The following is a 23067-nucleotide window of genomic DNA, read 5'->3' as shown; positions in this document are numbered from 1 at the left end:
CTGGTGCACTGCACCCACTAACTCCTCATCTAGCATTAGATATATCTCCCAAATTGAATTTCAATGTGATTGTATCATTTTATATTCCTACCAGGAGTGTATAAGAATTCTAGTTCCTACATTTCCTCCATGGTGATTTAATATGGCCAAACTTTTAAATCTTAACCATTATAATAAATGGGTAGGCATATATTATTTTTTAAATTTGCATTTCCCTAAACACTAATGATGTTCAGCTTGTTTACAAATCTGTGCTATTGATATATTCATCTTGTGTCTGTTTTATTTTCTCATCCTCATATTTATTAGGTAGATTGTTTTATTATTGCATTTTGAGAATTCATTATACATTATGGACACAATTCCATTTTCTCCACTCTATGGTTTGTGTTTTCCTTCTTTTAAGAGTGTATTATGGAGAGCAGACATTTTACATTTTGATGAAATTTAATTAATCTTTTTTCTTCTTTTATAAATTGTGTTTTTGATGTTCAAACTAAGCTACTTTTTTAAACCAATAGCTGTAAAGATTTTCTTTTAGAATTTTTACTGGTTTAGGCTTTACATTTAAGTAAATTACTGATTCATTTTTAGTTAATTATTATATAATATGTGAGATAGGAATCAATAGTGTATTATTTATACGTATCTCCAACTTTCCTAATACCATTTATTAAAAATATCCTTTCTCCTCTGAATTCTCTTTGCATTTTGATGTAAAATCAGTTTACATATACATGATTTGGTCTATTTCTGGCCTATTAGGTTCTATTGATTTGCTAGTGTGTTTTTATGACACTACCACATTATCTTGATTGTTGTAGTCTTATATCATACGGTGTTAGTCTTCCAATGTTCTTCTTTTTCAGTGTTTTAACCATTGTATGTCTTTTGCATTTCCATGTGAATTTTAGAATCAGCTTGTCAATTATATTAAAAAAAGCTGGTAAAAATTATATTAGATTTTGTTGAAGCTATATATCAATTTGAGATATATATCAGTATATCAAGATATCAATTCTACATCTTAACAATGCGAAGACTTTAAACACATGAACAAGGTTTTTTATTTAATGTTTCATTTCTCTCAGGAGTCTTTATGGTTTTCAGTGTGTATCTTTGGTTGTATTGGATTCGTGGATCTTTTGTTGGATCAATCCCTTTGAAGGTGTATTTTATACTATTTTAAATTGTATAGGTGTTTTTGTTTGAATTTCTGATTGTTAGTGTACAAAAACTCAGTAGATTGTACTGTATTTATTTTAGAACCTGCAATATCTAAACTGTTTATTTTAGAAGCTGCTTCTGTTTATTTACTTTGATTTGTTTTTTGTAATCTCCACAGAATTTTTTTGAAAAAAAGAATAAATTCATATGAGAATTAAATTTTAGTTTTTCATCTCTAAACTGGATGCCCCTTATTATTATTATTATTATTGGCTAATTGCATGATTAGAACTTCCAGTTCAATACTGAATAGAAGTGGTGAGACCTCACATCTCCATTGTTGTCCTGATATGTGGAAGAAAGTATTCAGTGTTTCACCATTAAATATAATATTTTTTGTCAGGATTTCATAGATGCCCTTGATCAGTTTGAGATATTTTCTGTTTCTACTTTGCTTAAAGTTTCTATCAGAAATGAAATTTGTATTTTTCCAAATGCTTTCTATGTGTCTATAAGAGATGATCAATAGTTTCTTCTTTAATCTGTTAATGGAGTGAATTACATTGATTGATGCTTATATATTAAAACAGTCTTAAATTGGTGACTTAACTGTCCATGGTCATTTTTCATTATCCTTTTAACATATTGTTGAATATGATTTGCTAATATTTTGTTTAGAATTCTTATATCTGTATTCACAAAGAATATGTATCTGTACTTTTCTTTTTATACTTTTGCTTTATTTTGCTACCTATTTTCTAGCCTCAAAGAATAAGCTGAAAATTAATTCCTCCTCTTCATTTTTGGGAAAAGTTAATAAATAATTAATATTTTTAATGTACTATAAAATTCCCTGTGACTGTATCTAAGTTTAGAGGTTATTTTGTTACAATATTTTATATCACCAATTTAGGTTTTTTAATTGTAAGTAGCTATTTAGGTTATCTACTTTTTGAATGAGCTTTGGTAGTATGCATCTTTCAGGATATTTGTCCACTTCTCATAAATTGCTGAGATTATTGACAATGAGTTGTTCATAATGTTACCATGTCTGTCTTTTAATATACATACATAATCTGTGGTGGTGTCACCTCTCTTCTTACTGCTATTAGTAAGGTGTGATCTTCTCTCTTTTTTCTTAATCTGTTAGATTAGAAATGTATCATTTTTATTGATCTTTTCAAAGGGATGCCTTTTGTTTCATTGATTTTCTTTATTGTTTTATGCATTCTAATCATTGATTTGCACCCACATTATTATTATTTATTTTATTTATTTTGAACTTTATTTTCTCTTAGTTTTCTAATTTTATTAGGGAATTTGCTGATGTTATTAATTTGAGACCTTTCCTTTTCTAATGTAGGTGTTTCATACTATACATTTACCCAATGTTCCTTTTTTAATTTTTGTATTTTTTGTAGAGACAGGATTTCACCATGTTGCCCAGGCTGGTCTCCAATTCCTGGGCTCAAGTAATCCGTTTGCCTTGGCCTCCCAAAGTGCTGGGATGATAGGCCACCTCCCTGACCTCAATGCTTCTTGAATGGCTTTATGCAAATTTTGAAATGATGTGTCTTTGCAATAAGGGTAAAATACTCTCCAATTTGATTCTTTTTTTAAGGTATAATTTTTTTTAGAAGTCTATTAGTTATGTTTCAAGCATTTGAACATTTTTTTCTGGTATTGATTACTACTTAAATTCCATACTGGTCTGAGAACATACTTTGTATGAGCTGAATTATTTTGAATGTATTTAGACTTGTCTTGTTGTCCAGAGTAAGCCTATCTTATTAAATGTTTCATGTGCACTTAAAAAGAATGTTTATTCTGCTGTTGTTGGATAGAGCGTTCTGTAAATGTCATCTCTGATTATAACTCTGAAATTTCTATTTTTCCTAACTTCTATAAGTATTTTTTTAGGTATTTTTAAACTTTGTTATAAAGTGCATAATTGTTTATGATTGTTATACTGTCTTGATAAGTAAACTCCTTTATCATTATAAAATGCCTTTCCTTATTCCTGGTAATATGCTTTACTCGGAAAACGACCTTATCTGATAGCAATAGACACACTCCAAGTTACCTTTTGTTAGTGCTACTTGACATATCTTTCTGCATAATTTAATTTTAACATCTGTGAGTCTTTATGTTTGAAACATATTTAAGTAGCAGGTAGCTGTTTATTGTTTGTTATTTAATTGACAATCTCTGCTTTTTAATTGTATCATTTGTACCAGTTACATTTACTATGATTATTGATATGCTTAGAATTAATCTATAATCATGATATTTGTTTTTTATTTTTCTTTACTTCTTTCTCCTTTACCTTCTTATTTTGCATTCCTTTAGATTAATTGAGTAATTATAATAGAACTTTATCTTCTTTATTGGCCTATTAGTGATAACTATTTTTTGTTACAATAGTGACTAGTCTAAAATTTATAACAACTACTTTGAAATTTTCCTAGTCCCCTCTCAGAAGTGATACCACTTCGCATATAGCACAATAACCATACAAGTATATACTTCCTTTTTCCCCTCTTGCCCTTTATATATAATTGGTATACATTTTATTTATCATCTGTTACTTCATATGTCACATTACATTTTTATCATTTTTATTTAAACAGTTATCTTCCAGAGATATTTAAGTAACAAGAAAAACACTCTCTTGTATTTTGCCTTATAGACACTAATTCCAGCATTTTTTCGTTCCTTCATGTTGATTCATATTTCTCCCTGCTATCATTTTCCTTTATGAAGGACTTCTTTAAACATTTGTTGGGTCTTCTGGAGATAAATTACTTTGAGTTTCGGAAAAAGTTTAGTTTGTCTCCAATTTGGAAAGATATTTGCTTTGGGCATAAAATTTTGGGTTGATATTTGTCTATTTATTTTAAATTTAGGGTATATGTGCAGGTTTGCTATTTAAGTAAATTGTGTGTCATAGGGGTTTTGTGTACAGATTATTTCATCACGGAGGTAATAAGCATAGTACTTGATAGGTAGTTTTCGATCTTCACTCTCCACCCACCCTTCACTTTCAAGTAGGCTCCAGTGTCTGTTGTTCCTTTCTTTGTGTTCATATATACTCAGTGTTCAGCTCCCACTTACTAGTGAGAACACGCAGCATTTGGTTTGCTTTTCTTGTGTTTGTTTGCTTAGGATAATGGCCTCCAGCTCCAACCATGCTGCAGCAAAGATGATATTTAGTTTTCAAAAATATTTTAGAAATCTTATTCCGTTATCTTTTTGCTTGCATTCTTGCTTCTGAGAGCAAGGAAACCAGTGCAAGTCCTAAAACCTCAAAAGTAAGGAAGCCAACAGTGCAGCCTTCAGTCTGCATTGGTGTAAGTGCAAGACCACTGGTGTAAGACCAAGAGTCAAAAAGCTGAAGAACTTGGAATCTGATGTTTGAGGGCAGGAAGCATCCAGCACAAGAGAAAGATGAAGGCCAGAAGACTCAGCAAGTCTACTCTTTCCACCCTCTTCTGCCTTCTTTATTCTAGCCATGCTGGCAACTGATTAGATGGTACCCACCCAGATTGAGGGTGGGTCTGCCTCTCCCAGTCCACTAACTCAACTGTTAATCTCCTTTTGCAACAACCTCACAGACACACTCAGGAACAATAGTTTGCATCCTTCAATCCAATAAAATCGACAGTCAATCATCACAGCATAATTGTAAAAATTTTTAATAAGATGCTAGCAAACCAAATTCAGCAGTGCATTAAGAGTCATTTACATGATTAAATGGGATTTATCACAGGAATGTAAGGATGCTTACACATACACAAGCTGGTAAATGTGATGCACCACATTTACAGAATGGAGGAACAAAAATCATATGATCATCTCAATAAATACACACATGCACAAAGAATTTGATAAAATTCAACATTCTTTCATCATGAAAACTCTCAGCAAATTACTTATAGAATAAACATACCTCAACATATTAAAGGCCATATAGTACAAACCTACAAGTAACATCATACTCAATGGTGAAAAAAGTTAAAAGCTTTTCCTCTAAGATCAGGAACAACACAAGGATTCCCACTTCTATTCAACATAGTAATAGAAGTACTTGTCAGAGTGATTAGGTTAAAAAAGAAATAAAGGCATTCAGGCCAGGCATGGTGGCTCACGCCTGTAATCCCAGCACTTTGGGAGGCCAAGGTGGTAGATCACCTGAGGTCAGGAGTTGGAGACCAGCCTAGCCGATACAGTGAAACCCTGTCTCTACTAAAAATACAAAAATTAGCCAGGTGTGGTGGCATGCACCTGTAATCTCATCTATGCAGGAGGGTGAAGCAGGAGAATCACTTGAACCCGGGAGGAGGAGGTTACAGTGAGCTGAGGTCATGCCTCTGCACTCCAGCCGGGGTGACAGAGTGAGACTCCGTCTCAAAAACAGAAAACAAAAACAAAAAGAGGGATTAAGGCATTCAAATCAGAAAGGAAGAAGTTAAATGTGTATGGGTCGGGGCAGGGATGGTGGTATATTTCTGACATTAAAAAAGAAGGAAGTCCATTTGCAACAACATGGATGAAACTGAGGACCTTTTACTAAGTGAAATAAGTCAGACAAAGAAAGAGAAATACTGTATGATCTCACTTACGTTATATGTGAACTCTAAAAAAAATTAAACTCATAGATACAGAAAGCAGAATGGTAGTTGCCAACAAATGTCTTTTCTCCATATATGTGTTAAACTCCAGCTTAACTTCAGGCTTGAGAGCCAACCCTATTCTATGTGATTGCAAATAAGAAAATACACTGAATTGTTAAAATGAACCTTCCCCAAATGCACTATTATAGAGTTATTTTGATTTTGTGCCTGACCTAAATGGGTTATTAAACAAATATTCATAAGTCAAAATGGGTGAATATTATCATTAGGAAAGATTCTGGCACCATAACATGTTCAATATAAATAAGTGCAATGTTGAATTCACATATAACATAAGTGAGATATCTAGAAATATTAAACATTTGAAAGATATATTGCACAGCCTCCTGACTTGTTAAATTATGATCCCACAGAACAGAATATGATGACCTCCACAGGAAAATTGATGCACTGATGTCTACTTAACACAAATATATTTATAAAGAGTAAATAATGTGATAACCAGTAATACCATTTTATTAATTTGTTATTACACAGAGTAGAAATATTGTACTGCTTTTTTTCAATTTTTAATCTACCTGTTAACATGTCTGAAAATCAGATATGTCTGAAAATCAATGGCAGGTCGTGAATTAATTGGTAATATTTTCCTTAAAAATATAAAGAATAGAAGCTTATCTTAAAATGATGAATTCTGTTATTTTAAAAAATATTTATTTGCAAAATTTATTCAGTTTCCAAAGAATTGTAAAATACACACACAAATTTTCAGAAAATGAAGTTTATGCAATAGCCATATAGTGATTTGCATCCACTGTTACAACACATGCTCAGACTGTGGTCTAATCCACATAAATTTTTATTTGGAAACACACACATTTTATTCAGTAAAGAGCAATTACTTTATGGCAGGCAGTCTCTAGTATCTCTGCTGCAGAGTATGTATTTTATATTACATTTTTACTCACATAAATACAGTCTACCATGGACGATAAGCAGATAATTCATTTTCTATACCAGGACACTAAGAATAAAAAAGTCTTTATAAACATTAAGGTGGCTTAATACATGTGATATGAACAAGTTATATCACAGGCAAACTAAGATGTATGGTCACTCTCTAGGGTTTTAATTTAGAAATAGAAAATTATTTATCCAGAGGACATAGCATACGTCCCCCAAATTAGGCAATTTCATCATTGTGTGAATATTATAGAGTGTGCTTAAACAAAGCTAGATGGAAAATTCTACTATGCACCTAGGCTATATAGTATAGCCTATTGCTCCTAAGCTACAAACCTGTTTAGCATGTTACTGAACTGAATATTGTAGGCAATTGTAACACTATGGTAAGTGTTTGTACATCTAAACAAGACTAAACATGGAAAAGGTACACTAAAAATATGATATACAAGATTAAAAATGCTACACTTGTATAGGGTACTTAGCATGAATGAAGCTTACGGGACTAAAGCTCTGAGTGAGTGGTGAGTGAATGTGAGGACCTGGGATATTACTGTACACTAACTACTGTAGGCTTTACAAACACTGTAAGCTTAGACTTCACTGAAGTTATTTTATAATTTTCTTTCTTTAATAATAAATTAACCTTAGCTTACTGTAACATTTTTAGGTTTATAAATTTTAAAGTTTTAAAACTTTTGACTCTTTTACAGTAACACCTTAAAAAGCACGGTTCTATGGCTATAGAAAAATATTTTCTTTTTTGTATTCCTTTTCTATATACTTTTCATCAAGTAATCATTAGGCAACAGATATTTTTCAGCTCCATTGTAATTTTATGAAACCACCATAGTATATGTGGTCAATTCTTGACCAAATTATGGTTGTATGTTACATGACTGTATCTGAAAAAGCAACTGACAAGCTATATAGACTTGATATTTGTTAGATATTTTTCTTGCAAAAGAGCAAAATTAGACTACCACTTCAGTAAATCAATTTGTAGCACTTATTTCTAAAGATTTCTAATTTTTTATATGTTTACCCTTTGTCATTCTCAGACCAAGTACATGTTTTCACACAGCCATCTTTCTTTTCCTGGAATCTTTCAGAATTACAGTTATGATGTCCTTTTATATTCCCCAAGCTGATTTAATGTTGTGAAATACTGTCAGAGATAAATTATGCATGCTAGGAGAGAAAAGATTAACATAAAATGTGGCAAATATAGAAAATATAAACTAATACAAACACATATATTCATAACAATATCAAATGAATCTTCATAATTAAGAAAAGTATAGACAGGTACAAAAAATATGACTTCATTTGTTTCTCTACCAAATAGAATCTATGTGTTTTTTTCTGTGACCCAAGATACCAAATTTTGCATTTAAATTTCACATTTTAATTTACAACTTTTATTCTGGTTATCACAGTGGAATACTGTTATTGTTTACATGAATGTTCTTTACAGTAAACTGTGAGCTTCTGTAGAGGAGCTATGTCTTATTCATGCCCGGCCTAGCAGAATGATAGATATTTTAGCCTAAAGAAGTCAATCAGATAAGTTCAGTGATTCAAACTTATATTGCAGGCACAGATGGGAGTGTCTAAATTAATAGTAAATGAAGAAAAAATGTTTAAAATGTTATTTTTAAAAATATTTTTGTGTATTGAGAAAAATTCTGATTCATAATTACATATATGATCTGAAATTTAGGACAAATTAAATATTAATAAATGATTATTAATCAAATTTTGTTTCTAAAAGTATTATTTGGTGGTGTGATATAGTATATCTTGCTTCATCTTTGGCTTCCATAATGTGTTCTCAAAATTGGTATTTAGGAAAAATATTCAGGAGTGTTACCATTCTTCAATGATCCTAGGTCTTTTGATCTTCAAGACATCCTCTTTGGAAGTATTAAACATTGTTTGAAAATTAACTTGACCGTTATCCATTTTAATTATCAAAAAATCTCCTTTGTCAAGTTCTTGTAGATTATTTGAGCAGTTCTCCAGCAATTTCATCAACTTCATAAAATCTTGCATCTTTTCAAGATCTGTAATTTTCATTGGATCTTATTTTCTATTATATTTGCACTATAATGTCAATGTTCTATACACCTGAGATTCAGTATAAGACTGACTTATCCATGTGCAATGAATTCTTTTGTTTTCTTTTTTTGGGACAAGGGAGTAACTAGGTCTATAGCCTGAACTACGGGTGTGTGTCAGCAACCCTAGCCAATTTTTTTTTTTTTTCAGTTTTTATAGATACCCGGTCTTGCTATCTTTCCCAAGCTGTTCTTGATCTCCTGGCTTCAAGTGATCCTTGACCTCCCAAAGTGCTGGGAGGATAGACATGAGCCACTGTGCCTGACCCAAGTGGAATAAACTCTAATGTTAAGTGGTGAGTACCTAGTTGGCGGCTGATCTTTAGCAGTTAATTTATTAGTAAATATTTACCTAATAAAATAATTTTTCTTCTTAAAATATCTTGCAGTTCTAGAAACTTGGTTAATGCATGGTTAGATAATGAGAATGACTCTGTATTTGGGAGTTCTTGCTTTTATTTAATACCAGCAAAATTAATTTTTTTGTGTATGGCTCAGAATATTTTCCTAAGCAATGTAGCACACTTTGTGTTGTGTGTTTATGTATGCATATATATTTAGTAATATCATGTGTATATACTTAGGTCCTGTCCAATTGCCAAAATCTGTTAAATAGCTAACCAGGCTCTTAAATGTCACCTTTATAAAATGGTAATGTATATATCCTGTGAAATATGATCCTTAGGTAGAATTCTAGCTTTAATGAATTCCAACATTAATCCCATATGACTCATCTGTCAGGAAGTGTAAAAATCAAAACTGCTCCTTTTGTTGCCTTTCACTCACTATGAAAACAGAGCAAAGAACAGTCCCTTTGGCACATTCATCAAAACTGTGATCAGGCTGATTAAAATGCAGATATACTGGAGCTTGTCTTTTATCTGTATTCCAACAGTGATATCTGATTTATTTGAATCTCATTAACACTCTATTTCCATGCCTTCTTTACTATTGTTTGCTGCTGTTACCAGCATCTAATTAAACAAGCACAACTGGGAATTTTGCACACACATTTACTCTATATGTTTCTCTGATATTATTTGAAACCTGTCTTCCTCCCAGTAATGTACTCCTCAGGCGTAGGATGAGGGCAGAATGGTAATTTGGTGTTGTTCTGCACCGTATTACATTTGTGTGAGGAATCACAGGATCTTATAAATTTTTAAATTGAACAATACCCTCAATTTGGAATTTGCTTTCATTTCTTTTAAAGAACTTGCCACTTTGGTATAAAGGCTTTTGATATCTTAATGGCAAAGCCTGCATTTCACAGAATATTTATTTATTATTGGTCTGATTTCTGAGGTGATAAAATGGTGTATTTCATTTTTATTGCACACGTTTTCACTATTCTGTTTTCTGTATAGTTTTTCCCATTCTAGTAATTCAGACTCTGGGAAAATCAGATTTTCTAGGTGTCATCTTTTAAAGCCCCATTTGCTTTACATTGCTTGAAGTTTCTCAGTTACTCTACTACATCGTGTTTTCTAGTCATTTCTCTTTTACTCTTTCTGAAAATAGTCAATTATTTCCCTCATCCTTGCATACAAAAAGATGGAAAGTAGCAAAGAAAAATAGAAATGAATAAAAGAATATGAGATTATTTTAAATCACAATCAACTTCATTCCATGTTAATTTTTATCCTAAAGAATTTCAAATGCAAATCTTTGAGAATTAACGTAATGTCCTCTGTATTAGCTTCATGCTGTATAGTACTTGACACAGTGCCATGAACAGCAGGGAATATATTGTTTATTTTTGTGATTGTATCCTACTACCCATCTTAAGAAAAATAATTAAATTCAGGCTTCACAATTGTGAAAGCAATTCAAATATATTCATGTTTCAATTACCGTGATGGTGTAAATCCAGATTACACCATCTGATGCTTCTAGAGGGAACAATATGAACAAAAAGAGAACATTTACATTACATATATTTTGAAAGGTTAAAAAGGGGCAATGTAATTACTATGCTTCCTAACAGAAAGTTAACCATATATAACACACACCAACTGTTAGTAGCCATTACCCTACTTTATGTTATCTGAGTGAACTTCGATATTTAAATAATTCTCCTCACACATTTTACTTAGAGATGTCATGTGTCTCTATAACTGATATTGGCCACTTACAAAAACTTTAATTAATCATATTCTGAAGATGAAAACCTAACATCTGGTGGTGAGAGTGTAGAGAATGGATATTCTAATATATTATTTGTGGGGCCAACATTTTGGGGGAAAGATTTTAGGATGAATTATGCTTGCTGTATTCAGAATAACAATACTTCTATGAATCTAGCTAGAGAAATAGTAGCTTGAGTACATAAATACATATTAATCTATATACACACCTGTGAACAACTTATTAAAACATATATTGTAATAGAAAAATACTGATAGCAATCTAAATAACCATGATAAATGACTATTCCACTATTTGCAGAGGAATAGAATCAAATACTAAGCAGCATTTCCAGAAAAAATAGAGGTAGAACTATATGTGCTGAACATGGAATCTGTCCATAATATTTTTGTGAATGAAAAAAAGTTATTTAAATATTATGGCTTACATGATTTTATTATGGAAAATTGCATGGGCAAGTATATGTATTTATAAAATAAAATGTACTTCTGTGAGCCGGGCAAGGCTACCTGTGGGATGAGTGTAGAATGAGAATCTTGAGCAATAAAGATAGGAATTTTCTTTTCCTAATTTGTGTAAATTAGGAAAAATTGTATAATTAAGAAGAAAAATGGAAGATTTTAGATAATTTACAGCCCTTTCCAAAAAGATTATTTTGTTCTAACTTACAATTAATAATACTTTCCAATCAGGCTTTCTTGGGGACAGTTAGTGGTACAAAACTTTCAGCCTTGCATGTGAATGTCATTGTTATTGGTGGTCAATGACAAGGCAAACACATCTTAGTCTCTTCCCTTGGAATTCTGATTCAACTGAGAATAAAGCTTGCTTCAATACAATGTATTACTATTATTATCTCTTTCCTTTCTATAACAGTCAGTAAAGTCTAGGCTATGAAGAAAACATTTTTTCCTGAGGTCATTCAAGGAATATTTTTTCCATACTGTTGGGCTGCTCTTTCCAAGGTAATTGTGTCTTCTATATAGTCAGAACTGGGTGACTGCATATCCGCATGAAGGAGAGAAAGCCCAAAGAGACATTTCCTATAGATAGAAGAGGCCCTCTAGTGAGTGCATATTTTGTTTCTACTCTCATTTACTTAGTGATAACTTGGTCACATGGCCACACCTAGACAAAAGAAGTGTGTATGTGTGTGTGTCTGTAGGTGTCTGTGTGTGTGTGTTCGTATCCTGGCCTATATACTGCCCATAGACAATCATTTAATGTGTTTTACGTGTATGCTTATATTTGAAGGTATTAAAAATGTGCATTATTTGTGTCAAAATGTCTTTTAATGTGTTAGAGTGAAGAACAGTGCATTTGAATTAAGTGCCAGCTGCCCCAGCATGAAAAAGTACATGTCTTCTGTCCCTTAGAAAAATGATATTATAAATATTAATAAATAATGAATTTTCTTCCACCTTTGTGGGCCATATCAAATGAAATTTTACAAAATACACCAATGTTCTATCTCATACTCTAATATGTTTAGTTTCTTCAAAGTTTGGATAATGTTGTCGAATTAATTAGAACCTTCAATCAAAATATCAGTTACACAAATCTTCTCACAAGAGCCACAATAGTGGCTCTCAGCCAGACATGCTTTGCATTATGTTACTATAATATATCATACAATTATAAAATTACTCATGTCTTGGAAGACAAAAAATAAAATTAAGGCTCTGGTCACTTTCTTTTAACTTTGAAAAGCACCATCCCAGGCTTATGAATATGTATATATTTTCAGATTTTTGTAACTTATATATCTGTGCCAGGAAGTGATAGAGTCTAAAGTTTATGGATACTAATATTTCTTCAACAAAACAAGCATTATTTTCTACAAGATTAATGTAATTCTTTTTTATTTCTGCCTAGTATTTTAGCATTTCACTTTCTTTAATGTCATGTATGTAATTACTTTTAAAAAGGGCTATCTAATTTAGGTCATTTCCCAGTGATGCATCAGTGAGCATAAATTGCTATTCAATTGTGTCAGCTTTCATCTCTGAGTCAATGACCCACAGAACTACCATATTACAAATGTAAAACGATTCTGTTAACACATAGTGATTTTCTAGTTTCCTTAATCATTAAAAAGAGAGAGAGAGAGCATTTAATGTATTTCCTTCGTTCTACTCAGCTAACCCATCAAACTAAGCTGTCTGTTTTCAGGGCCAAATTTCTTGTCACTCTCTACAATGTCTACTGTGCATTCACATCTCAATTATTTATCACTAAGCTTCTATCCTGATACATATCCCAAACTACTCTTTCAGAGATCACTCTTTAGTTAACAAACACTTTGACCCTTTTTCATTCTCAATCTTAGGATACAGTCATTTTTTAAGATAATGTAGGTAGGTGGTTACATCGCATTCATACAGCCTGAGATTCAAAATATAGCTTTGTTAATTTCTGAATAGTTGCCCTTAGGAAACTCTGAGACTTATTACTTTGTGCAACTAATGCTTCTATTTTAAAGAGATGTTCTGAACTCTAAATGAGATAAGGTACTTAAAGTACTTAGTAAAGGGTCTAGTGCATATTAATGACAGCTATTAATACTAGACATGACATCTCTTTTTAATATTTCTGAACCCTCATTTTCTGTGAAATATATGACACCAGTTCTCACTCCACCTCCCAGATTACTCCTTTTTAGTCTCTTTGGTCATCATTCCTTCCTCCCATTTCTTATTTTTGCATATTTCTCAAAGATTTTTTTTGTTCACTGGCACTCCTGGTTCATCTTATCCTCTTTCTGGGAACAAAAACTTACTTCTCAATTCTACTAATTTAAATTCTGAAATATAATTCTCTAGACATATGTATTCTCTTAGCGTCACCTCTAAAATGTCATATTATCTTCAAGATATTTCTAAATATCTTTCTGGTAACTCGACCTCAGTATATTCCATTTGAATTCACTCTTGCTTCCTAAACCTCTTCTAACTATCCTCAGATTTCAGTGTTACTTTTATACTCACAGTCATTCAAACTTTTGGATCTGTTGCACCGTCCTCCCACAGGTAATCATTTGCCTAACAGCAGGAATATTGCATTTAGTCCAACCCCATGTACATCCTTCTGTTTCCACTCTGCCTTGCTAACGCTGAGGCCCTTAATAACTTTCAGCCTCTTATACATCTTTTTGCATTGATGCCAGATCAAACTTCTCAACTCACAGCACAAAGATTCAGGGGTTTCCCAATCATTAATTAATGCATAAGTTCAGCCATTGTTCAGTCTTACCTATCTTATCATCAGTAACTGGCTTTCAATATTGATAACTGTGGGAGGCACAGGCAAGAGGATTGTTTGAGCCCAGAAGTTCAAGACCAGCTGGGGCACCATGGCAAGACTCCATTCCTACAAAAGACATAAATAAATAAATAAATAAATAAATAAATAAATAAATAAATAAAATAAATTAGCTGGGCCTGGTGAAATGCACCCATAGGGCCAGCTACTCAGGAGGCTGAGGTGGGAGGATTGCTTGAGCCCAGGGGTTTGAGACTGCAGTAAGCTATGGTCGTGCCACTGCACTCTAGCTTATGCAATAGAACTAGAACTCGTCTCAAAAAATATATATATTGATAACTGGAAATAGGTTAAATGAAAAAACATAAAATTATTTCAGATGAAAAGGAGAAGGATGACTTGGTTAGAAAATCATCTTATGTGAAGATCTTGGCAATGCTTTACCTAGATAGAAAAGGTCATAAGTGGTATACCAACAACTGTATATAAAATACAGACTGTAAGAAAGCATACAGTTAGTGAAAGTGTACTATCCAGATATAATACTAAGAAAACCATAGAAATTACAGAAGAATGATTTGTGAAATGAAGTAAAACTTTTAAAATAATCAAAGATATTGTCACCCTCCAAAGTTATGACATTTTCTTCCCTGAAAGTAATCAATTAGAATAAATACGAACAAGGTCAATAAAATACTTGTCTGGCAAGTTTGTGCCATTTTTCTTTGGTTAAGAAATCACACCAATTTTATTCATATTAGTAGGAGCTAAGAATCCTATGCTGGCCATGCTTCAATTTTAAATATCAATTAAGGTTACTAATAGTCATTTTGACTTTTGAAAGAGTTGGCTGAAGGAAATAAAGGCAATTATAAGTAGCTCTGCATGATGTGGTCCATATATCTATTTTTTGGCCACTGTTTTGTTTTGAATGTTGTTCATAAATAGTGCAGATGGAAAGAGGATCAGATTATGGGAACTGATAGATCTAGTTATAAATATGTTTATTTCACCCTAATTACATGAGTTGAATATTCTTCATGAATATTCATAATAAAAAATATTAAAGACGGAGCATTGAAAATGAAAAGAACAAAATTAGGATTTCACCTTTCAAAGTCCCTGATTAAAGTGTAAATTCATCAGGAGGCTTATACCTTAAACTGTGTCAGCTAACACCTTAGGCTTTAGCTATCATCTTAATTATCAGCTAACACTTTCATAGGGACTGGTAGACATGTGCAGCCTGCCCTTGGGAGCACAGGAAAGAAAAGGTGAGATGTTAGGAGAGACAAACGAGGCTGAGTCTGGAGACATGCCAAAGACTGAGAAACCTACTGCATCATTTTCTCGGAGCCAGCTTGAGCTCTATAATACCTTGCTCTCTTAAGAATTATTCCTCAGATAGCAGAAGTAAGTACAGCAGGAAAGCATTTTGTTTTGTCACCCCAACCTATTTTTGTCACCTTCTTTACTTCTGTTCACCCGTAGAGGGAACTGGTGTTTGGTAAGACAGTGACAGATAATTATTCATAGTTTGTTATGAAGGAAGGGCCCTATTAGGAGAAAAGCCTGGTTGATACTCCATTGTAAGGAATTTAAAATACTTTGGAATGGTGTTTATGATAGTGGCAGGAGATAGACAAATCCTAGGCGGACAGGGGTGAGCGACCAATGAAATAACACCTTCAAGCCAAAGAGAGTTTAAAGCCTAGCTGCAAGTCCCAGGTAAATCCAAGGACTAGATTGAGAACCTCTCTTCCCATTTGGTGCATTTTCCTCTCATTGATCCCCACCCTTCACCTATTTTACATATACTTACCCTTCTCTAATTGATTTTTTACACTGTTATGCTTACCTTTGAGTGGTGCCTTTAACTATTTTTTGCATACTCACAAGCCAATCATCATGCACTCCCCTATTCTGAGCCCATAAAAGCCCCGGACCCAGCCACACTGGAAGAGAAACCACCCGACTTTGGGTGAGGGACCAACCCCACATCCCTTCTCCACTAAGAGCTATTCCATTACTCAGTAAAATTCATCTCCACCTCCCTCACTCTTTGGTTGTCAGCGTATCCTCATTCTTCTTAGATGGGGGACGAGAATTCAGGACCCACCAAACGTGGGTACTCAGACAGCTATAACATTTTGGTCATCTGTTCTTTGCCAGAGGAGGGCAGCCACTCTACACCATGGGAAGCAATGGCAGGGCTGAGCCAGCCTTGGAGCTATGGTCCAGAGCAGGGCAAGAGGCCGACTGTGCTGTTAACATGCCACTGTCTGTCAGGCTGTGGATGGCAGGACTAAAAGAGCTAATTAGCATGTTGCAACACCCCTCCAGTCTCTTCGGGGTCATGTGCACCCCTGCCTGGGTGCCACCACATTCCTTTTGGGGAAACATGCCTGGTCCAGCAGCAAGTCCTGCATGGAATCCATCACTGTGCTGGCATTTTGAACAGCTGACTGGACCCTGCACTTGCTCTTTCACACCCCACCACCTACCAGGGGCTGAGCACACAGTTGCAGTAGCTGTAGGAGCCAGGGGCTGGAGCACAAGCCGGACATGGCCTGGTGGGCCGGGTAGACAGGGCACCTCCTGCTGCAAGCCTGGCAAAGGGGCCGAGAAAAATCCTGCATCATTTATATTACCATAAAGAAATCTCTGAATACTCTTCAGGCTCAAGTCAGGAAAGAAACAGCACCATGAAAGTAAAGACATTATAGCCAACTACCAGAATACAGTAAGAACTGGTAGGAGAGGAAATCAGAACACAGGACAAAAGAGATTTCTATTTAAATGACAATAGAACAAAAGGAGCAAGTTGAGGAAGAAGGGACTGTCTGATATTCATCCCAGTGGAGCTACACATGGACTTAATGTGGGGAAATTTTTAAAATATACCTACTTCTGTCTTCCCAAAACTGCCTTTGTACTTGTCTAAAAGTAAAGTAACTATTTTTGGCAAATAAATGTGACCTGTCAACCAGAAGGAAGAAAGCGTGGCAGCACTATTATAGAGCATTTATTTGAGCCAAGGTTGGCAAATGCAGCCTGGGAAATGTTTCATGTTGCTTTGGGAGCGCTCCGTCAGGCCTTTCTTACAGGCATGTTTTTAAAGGAAAAAAGGGGACAACGAATGGGCTGATGCAAAGTTGTTTGACAGGAATTCTAACTGGGCACAGAAATAACATCGGTCAGTGATTGGCTGCACATTGTTGAACCATGGAGTACAAGCTTATGGTGTCTGGTGTATGGCATTTTATGGCTACTTAGTGTCAGTTAGTCTAGAAGCCAAAAAGCAAGTGGCTTCAAGAGGTGATTATTGAGCTCAAGAGGGGAGTGTGATGTGGACTGCTGCATTTCAATGTCTCTCTGAGCCTGATGACTAAAGAGAGCTGGTCTTCCTCATATAAAAGTTTTTTTTCTCTCAATCCCATTATGCAGATGCTGTGGCTGTAGGATATAACTGTAGTGTCATATATACAAGCTTTCATCTGAGTTATTTTAATCTGTCATATTTATTTTTGGCATCTCATCTTTATATTAAGGTATAATTTAAAGTTAAATGTGCAGATCTGGGTTTTGAGAAATATATGCACTCATGAAACTCACCTCCAGAACATTCTGTAATCATTCTTCTCATTTAATCCCAAGAAGCAATCACTGTGTCAGAGGTGTATGAACCAGAGTGACTCCATCTTGAATAGGGGCTGGGTAAAATAAGGCTGAGACCTGCTAGGCTGTATTCCCAGGAGGTTAAGGCATCTTTAGTCACAGGATGCTATAAGGGGTCAGCACAAGATTCAGGTCACAAAGACCTTGCTGATAAAACAGCATGTGGTAAAGAATCTGGCCAAATCCCACCCAAGCCAAGATGGTGATGAAAATGACATCTGGTCACCCTCACTGCTCATTATACACTAATTATAATGCATTAGCATGCTAAGGGACACTCCCACCAGCACCATGACAGTTTACACCAGCACCATGACAGTTTACAAATGCCATGGCAATGTCAGGAAGTTACCCTATATGGTCTAAAAAGGGGAGTAACCCTCAGTTCCAGGAATTGCCCACCCCTTTCCTAGAAAACTCATGAATAATTCATACATTGTTTCCCATATAATCAACAAGTAATAAATATAAGCAACTGAGCAGCCCATGCTGCTGCTGTGTCTAAGGAGTAGCCACATTTTTTTGTTTTAACTTCTCTAATAAACTTTCTTTCACTTTTCCCTGTGGATCCACCTCGAATTCTTTCTTGCACGAGATCTAAGAGCCCTCTCATGGGGTCTGGATCATGACTCCTTTCCAGTAATAACTCTTCTGATTTTCTTCAACATCTATTAGTTTTGCTGGTTTCACAAATTTATATAAATAGAATTATACTGTATGTACACATTTGTGCCTGGCTTCTTTCTCTCAGGAGAGTTAAAAAATTATTAGAGTTTCATAGTTGTGTTGCATCAGTAGTGGGTTTTTTGTTTGTTTGTTCGTTGGATGTTTTTGTTTTCAGTTGCCGAGCAGTATTCTATTCTATGGATAAACCACAATTTGTTTATCTATTATCTTTTTCAAGGGCATTTGGGTTATTTTCAGTTTTATTCTATTATCAATAAAACTTTTGAGAACATTTACATGCAAGTTTTTTTCTTGGACATTTCTTCTCTTGGCTATAAATACGAAAAGTGTAGAATTTCTGAGTCACAGTGGAGGAATTTATTTGGTTTTATGAAAACAAAATGTGTACTGATTTCCAAAGTGTTTGTTATTTTACCATTCACCAGCAAAGGATGAGAGTTTCGGTTATCCCAGATTCTCACTGACAAGGGACATTATCAGTCTTCTTAAATTTAGCACTCCATTGGGTATGATTGCCTCCCATTGGAACTATATTTGTTTGAAATAATTTCTTTTTTTCAATGCATAGCATAAGTTCTGGTTTCTACTCTTATGAACACTTAGTGTTCATGCATTGTCATAAGTGATTCAGTTTTGAATTATTAATGATTTTAGAAGTTACAAACATTTTATTAGACGCATTCTTGTTACTGGTGCATAGGAGCTAAACATTTTAAAATGTTTAAAAATTGGTGATGGGTGATTAGAGTGGAAGGTGATAGACAAAACAACACTGAAAGAGTAAGATCTGGAAAGGTAAAGATCACAAATCCAATTTGTAACATGATTGTTTTTAAGGACATTCGGGACAACCTAGGAAAATATAAAGTAGAAAATTGGCAATATGAATGTGGAGATTATATAAATAAGTTTGTAATTCCCCTTGTTTATCTTGTTCTTAAATAGTTGGCATCAATTATATAAAATGATATTTCATACTATTTATTATAGAATTAGGCTGTGAATATTTATCTATTACTTTGAAATTATGTATTTTTGTAGGAAAATAATATGTTAATGATGTTGAAGATAGAAATTTTCACAATTATATTTGGGATTTTTCCCTTCATACTTGCTGTTTATTGGGAATACCATATTATTTGAAATAGCAAATGCCGAAGGTAATGCAGAATTTCTGAACTCCACCTATGACTTCTAATTATTAAGATATACCTAATGCCTTTAGGGTTTTGATCATTTTATAATACTCAAAATTAAGAAGTAGATAGCTTTTCATTCAGAATTTTGGATTCCTGAGAGAGAAAGCCTGGAATTAAATCTTGTCTTTTTCACTAGGAATGTAAACATAGATAATATTATTATATATCGTTTCTCTATTTCCCTAACTACTTCAAAGCATTGCTATGAAAACTAAATGAGTTAATAATTTTAACATGCGACTGGGCGCAGTTGCTCACACCTGTAATTCCAGCACTTTGGGAGGCCAAGGCAGGTGGATCACCTGAGGAGAGGAGTTCGAGACCAGCCTGGCCAACATGGTGAAACCCCGTCTCTACTAAAAATACAAAAATTAGCAGGTTTTCGTGGTGCCTGCCTGTAATCCCAGCTACTCAGGAGGCTGAGGCGGGAGAGTCGCTTGTACCCGGGTGGTGGGAGGTTGCAGCGAGCCAAGATCACGCCACTGCACTCCAGCCTGGGCAACAGAGCGAGACTCCATCTCAAAATAAATAAATAAGTAAAAATAATTTTAAAGTGCTTAAAACAGTGTTTCACAGAAGCCAATAAATGTGTCTAGTAAATGTGATAACAATAATTTTGAACTTCACCATTTACTGTACTTTTGGTAAAAAGCAAGAGTTGTTCTAAGATATTGCAGTCATTTTTATGATTTCCAAAAAATATTATTATCATGTCAGAAACTACTATAATTTACTGTATTCTTTTTGAATCTCACCCTTTATCAGACTAAAATAGTTAATAAAAATAATAATAAAGCTAGCATTTAATGACCACTTTCTATGTGCTTAGCACATTTTAAGTCTCTTAACTATCCTATGAGATGACATCCATTAGCCCCATTTTCGATGTGAAGAAGCTGAAACATGGAAAGACAAATTACCGTGCCAAAGTCATATAGTGATAATGTCAAAAGCAAGTCTAAGTTGTATGACTCTGAATCTTAAACCATGTACACTGACTCTCCAACTGCCATTTTCAAACAACTGATATTCAAATTCTAACAGTAGCTTGTAAATAATATTGGTAAAGTAAAAAAAAAGAAGTAGAGCTTAGAAGTTTTATTTTACTCACAAGTCATTATGTACTCCCAAGTTCAAAGAACCAGTTACTTTACAGACAAAAACCCCAAATAAAAGACAGGGAGAGTTGGAAATGATTTTCCCAATTCTTTGACCCATTTTATTAACATAAATCATGATAAGTAGTAGATGTTCAAAAAATTATTAAATGTATGAGTAAATAAAAATTGTAAAACCCTCATGGAACTTTTCCCCATACCTTTATAGAACCTGGTCTCAATTAAGATATAGTATAAATGTATAACAAATGTTTTTGAATCACAAAGTTTTTACCAGTATGTATAGATTCAACAATAAAATAAAGTTGAGATTATTAGGAAATTATTCAACCAGTCTGGGTTCGATTTTCCATCTTTACAATAATAACTGCAGTGAAAATTTACATTTCACTTTTTCTACTTTACCTTTTGTAAAACAGGATTATTGTCCTGTGTGAACTCCTTCTCCCACCTCCAAAAAGAATGATGAGAATATTGACCAAGCACTTAGAAAATGCTACTAGTTACATTTAATTAACAGTAACAATGAGAAAAGATTTCTCATATTATGGAAATTATAGTTATTGAGAAATCTGTAAAATTTTAAAGATACTTCATAATTAATGTTGATTTAGCTAAAGAATAATGAATATTCATAGTACATTGGAATTTTATAGTATTCATTCTTTACAAGCAATATATTATTAACTAAAAACATAAAAGATGAAACTATATACGATATAACCAATGTGCTTTTAATATAATTTGAAAAGATTAATTACATTATTATAAATTAAAAGTTAAATAATTTATTTTTTACTTCTGGGTTTTTCTTTTAAATGAATATGCAAGGATGTCCAAAACAAATTGTTTGATTATTTATCATAATCGAAAGAACATTTTGTTTTTTCCTGCTGATCTACAGTTCTCTTCCTAATACAAAGTTTCAAGGTAAGCCAGCATTAGTGTAGACCTATAGGGTAAAATGCTTAATGTTGTCTTTAAAATGTATTTTCTTGAGATTATATTATATATATATAGATAGATAGATAGATTATATATTGTATCTATAGATACATAGATTATATATTCTATCTATCTATCTATCATCTATCTATCTATCTATCTATCTATCTATCTATCTATCTATCTTATGGTGCCCACTAAAAGATACAGATGAATATCTATGCAAATAAAATCTAGTAGACTTTTTGTTTTTTTTTACCAATAGCAACACCAAGATCTAGCTGGATGGTCAATCATAATCACCTAATTCAAATACAGTCTATTCATTTTATCCACAGTTCCTCTTTCCATGGTTTCAGTTACCCATGGTCAACTGTGGTCTGAAAATAGGTAAGTACAGTACCACATTTACATAACTTTTATTACAGCATATTATTATAATTGCTCCATTTTATTATTAGTTATTTTTTTAATCTCTTACTGTCTTTAATTTAAAACTAAATTTTAACAACGGTATGTATGTATTTAAAAAATAATATATTTAGGCTTCGGTACTATCCACAGTTTGGCATCCACTGGAGTTCTTGGGACAAATCCCTCTTAGATAAGGAGAGACTACTGTATATGACTGTGGTAAAAACTTAAAATGTCTCCTCTAGATTTCTCACTAGAATCCAGAGGACTGGGAGTATCATGAGAGATCATCTTCTGATTATGCCAGGTAACATGGCAAAATGAACTTTTTGCAGATGATTTTAAAGTCACTAATCAGTTAACTTTGACTTAATCAAAAGAAAGATTATTTGGGTAAACCTAATCTATTCACATAAACCTTTTAACAGCAGTGATACTGCTGAAGTGGAGGTCGAAGAGATTAGAAGCAAAGGAAAGACTCAACCTGTCCTCCTTAGTTTGAATATGGAGGTGAGTGGCCTGTAGAGGCAGAGAGATCCTGACTGACCTCCAGCAAGGAAATGGGGTTTTAGTCCTCCAAATGCCAACAACCGAATTCTACAAAAACCCAGTGAAACTGGAAACAGATTTGTTTTCTGAGCCTCCATGTAAAAGCCCAGCAGATGACACTGACTATGGTGTTTTGAGAACCTAAGCATAGGACAGACTATAAATTTGTGTTGTTATGTAGCTA

General features: G+C 33.6%; 1 long non-coding RNA gene across 4 annotated transcripts in view; it reads left to right on the top strand.

Annotated features, from left to right (window-relative positions):
- The window catches only part of LOC105375974 (uncharacterized), a 248630-nt gene that overhangs the window by 136672 nt on the left and 88891 nt on the right, over window positions 1-23067 (top strand). For all 4 annotated transcript variants that reach the window (XR_007061893.1, XR_001746618.1, XR_929476.2 and 1 more), the window contains exon 2: window positions 9036-9180. This is a non-coding gene — a long non-coding RNA (uncharacterized LOC105375974). The remainder of the gene's footprint in view (window positions 1-9035; window positions 9181-23067) is intronic.

The sequence above is a fragment of the Homo sapiens genome, chromosome 9 (genome assembly GCF_000001405.40).
Source record: "Homo sapiens chromosome 9, GRCh38.p14 Primary Assembly".
Lineage (NCBI taxonomy): Eukaryota > Metazoa > Chordata > Mammalia > Primates > Hominidae > Homo > Homo sapiens.
This window is presented reverse-complemented; position numbering and strand designations above follow the sequence as displayed.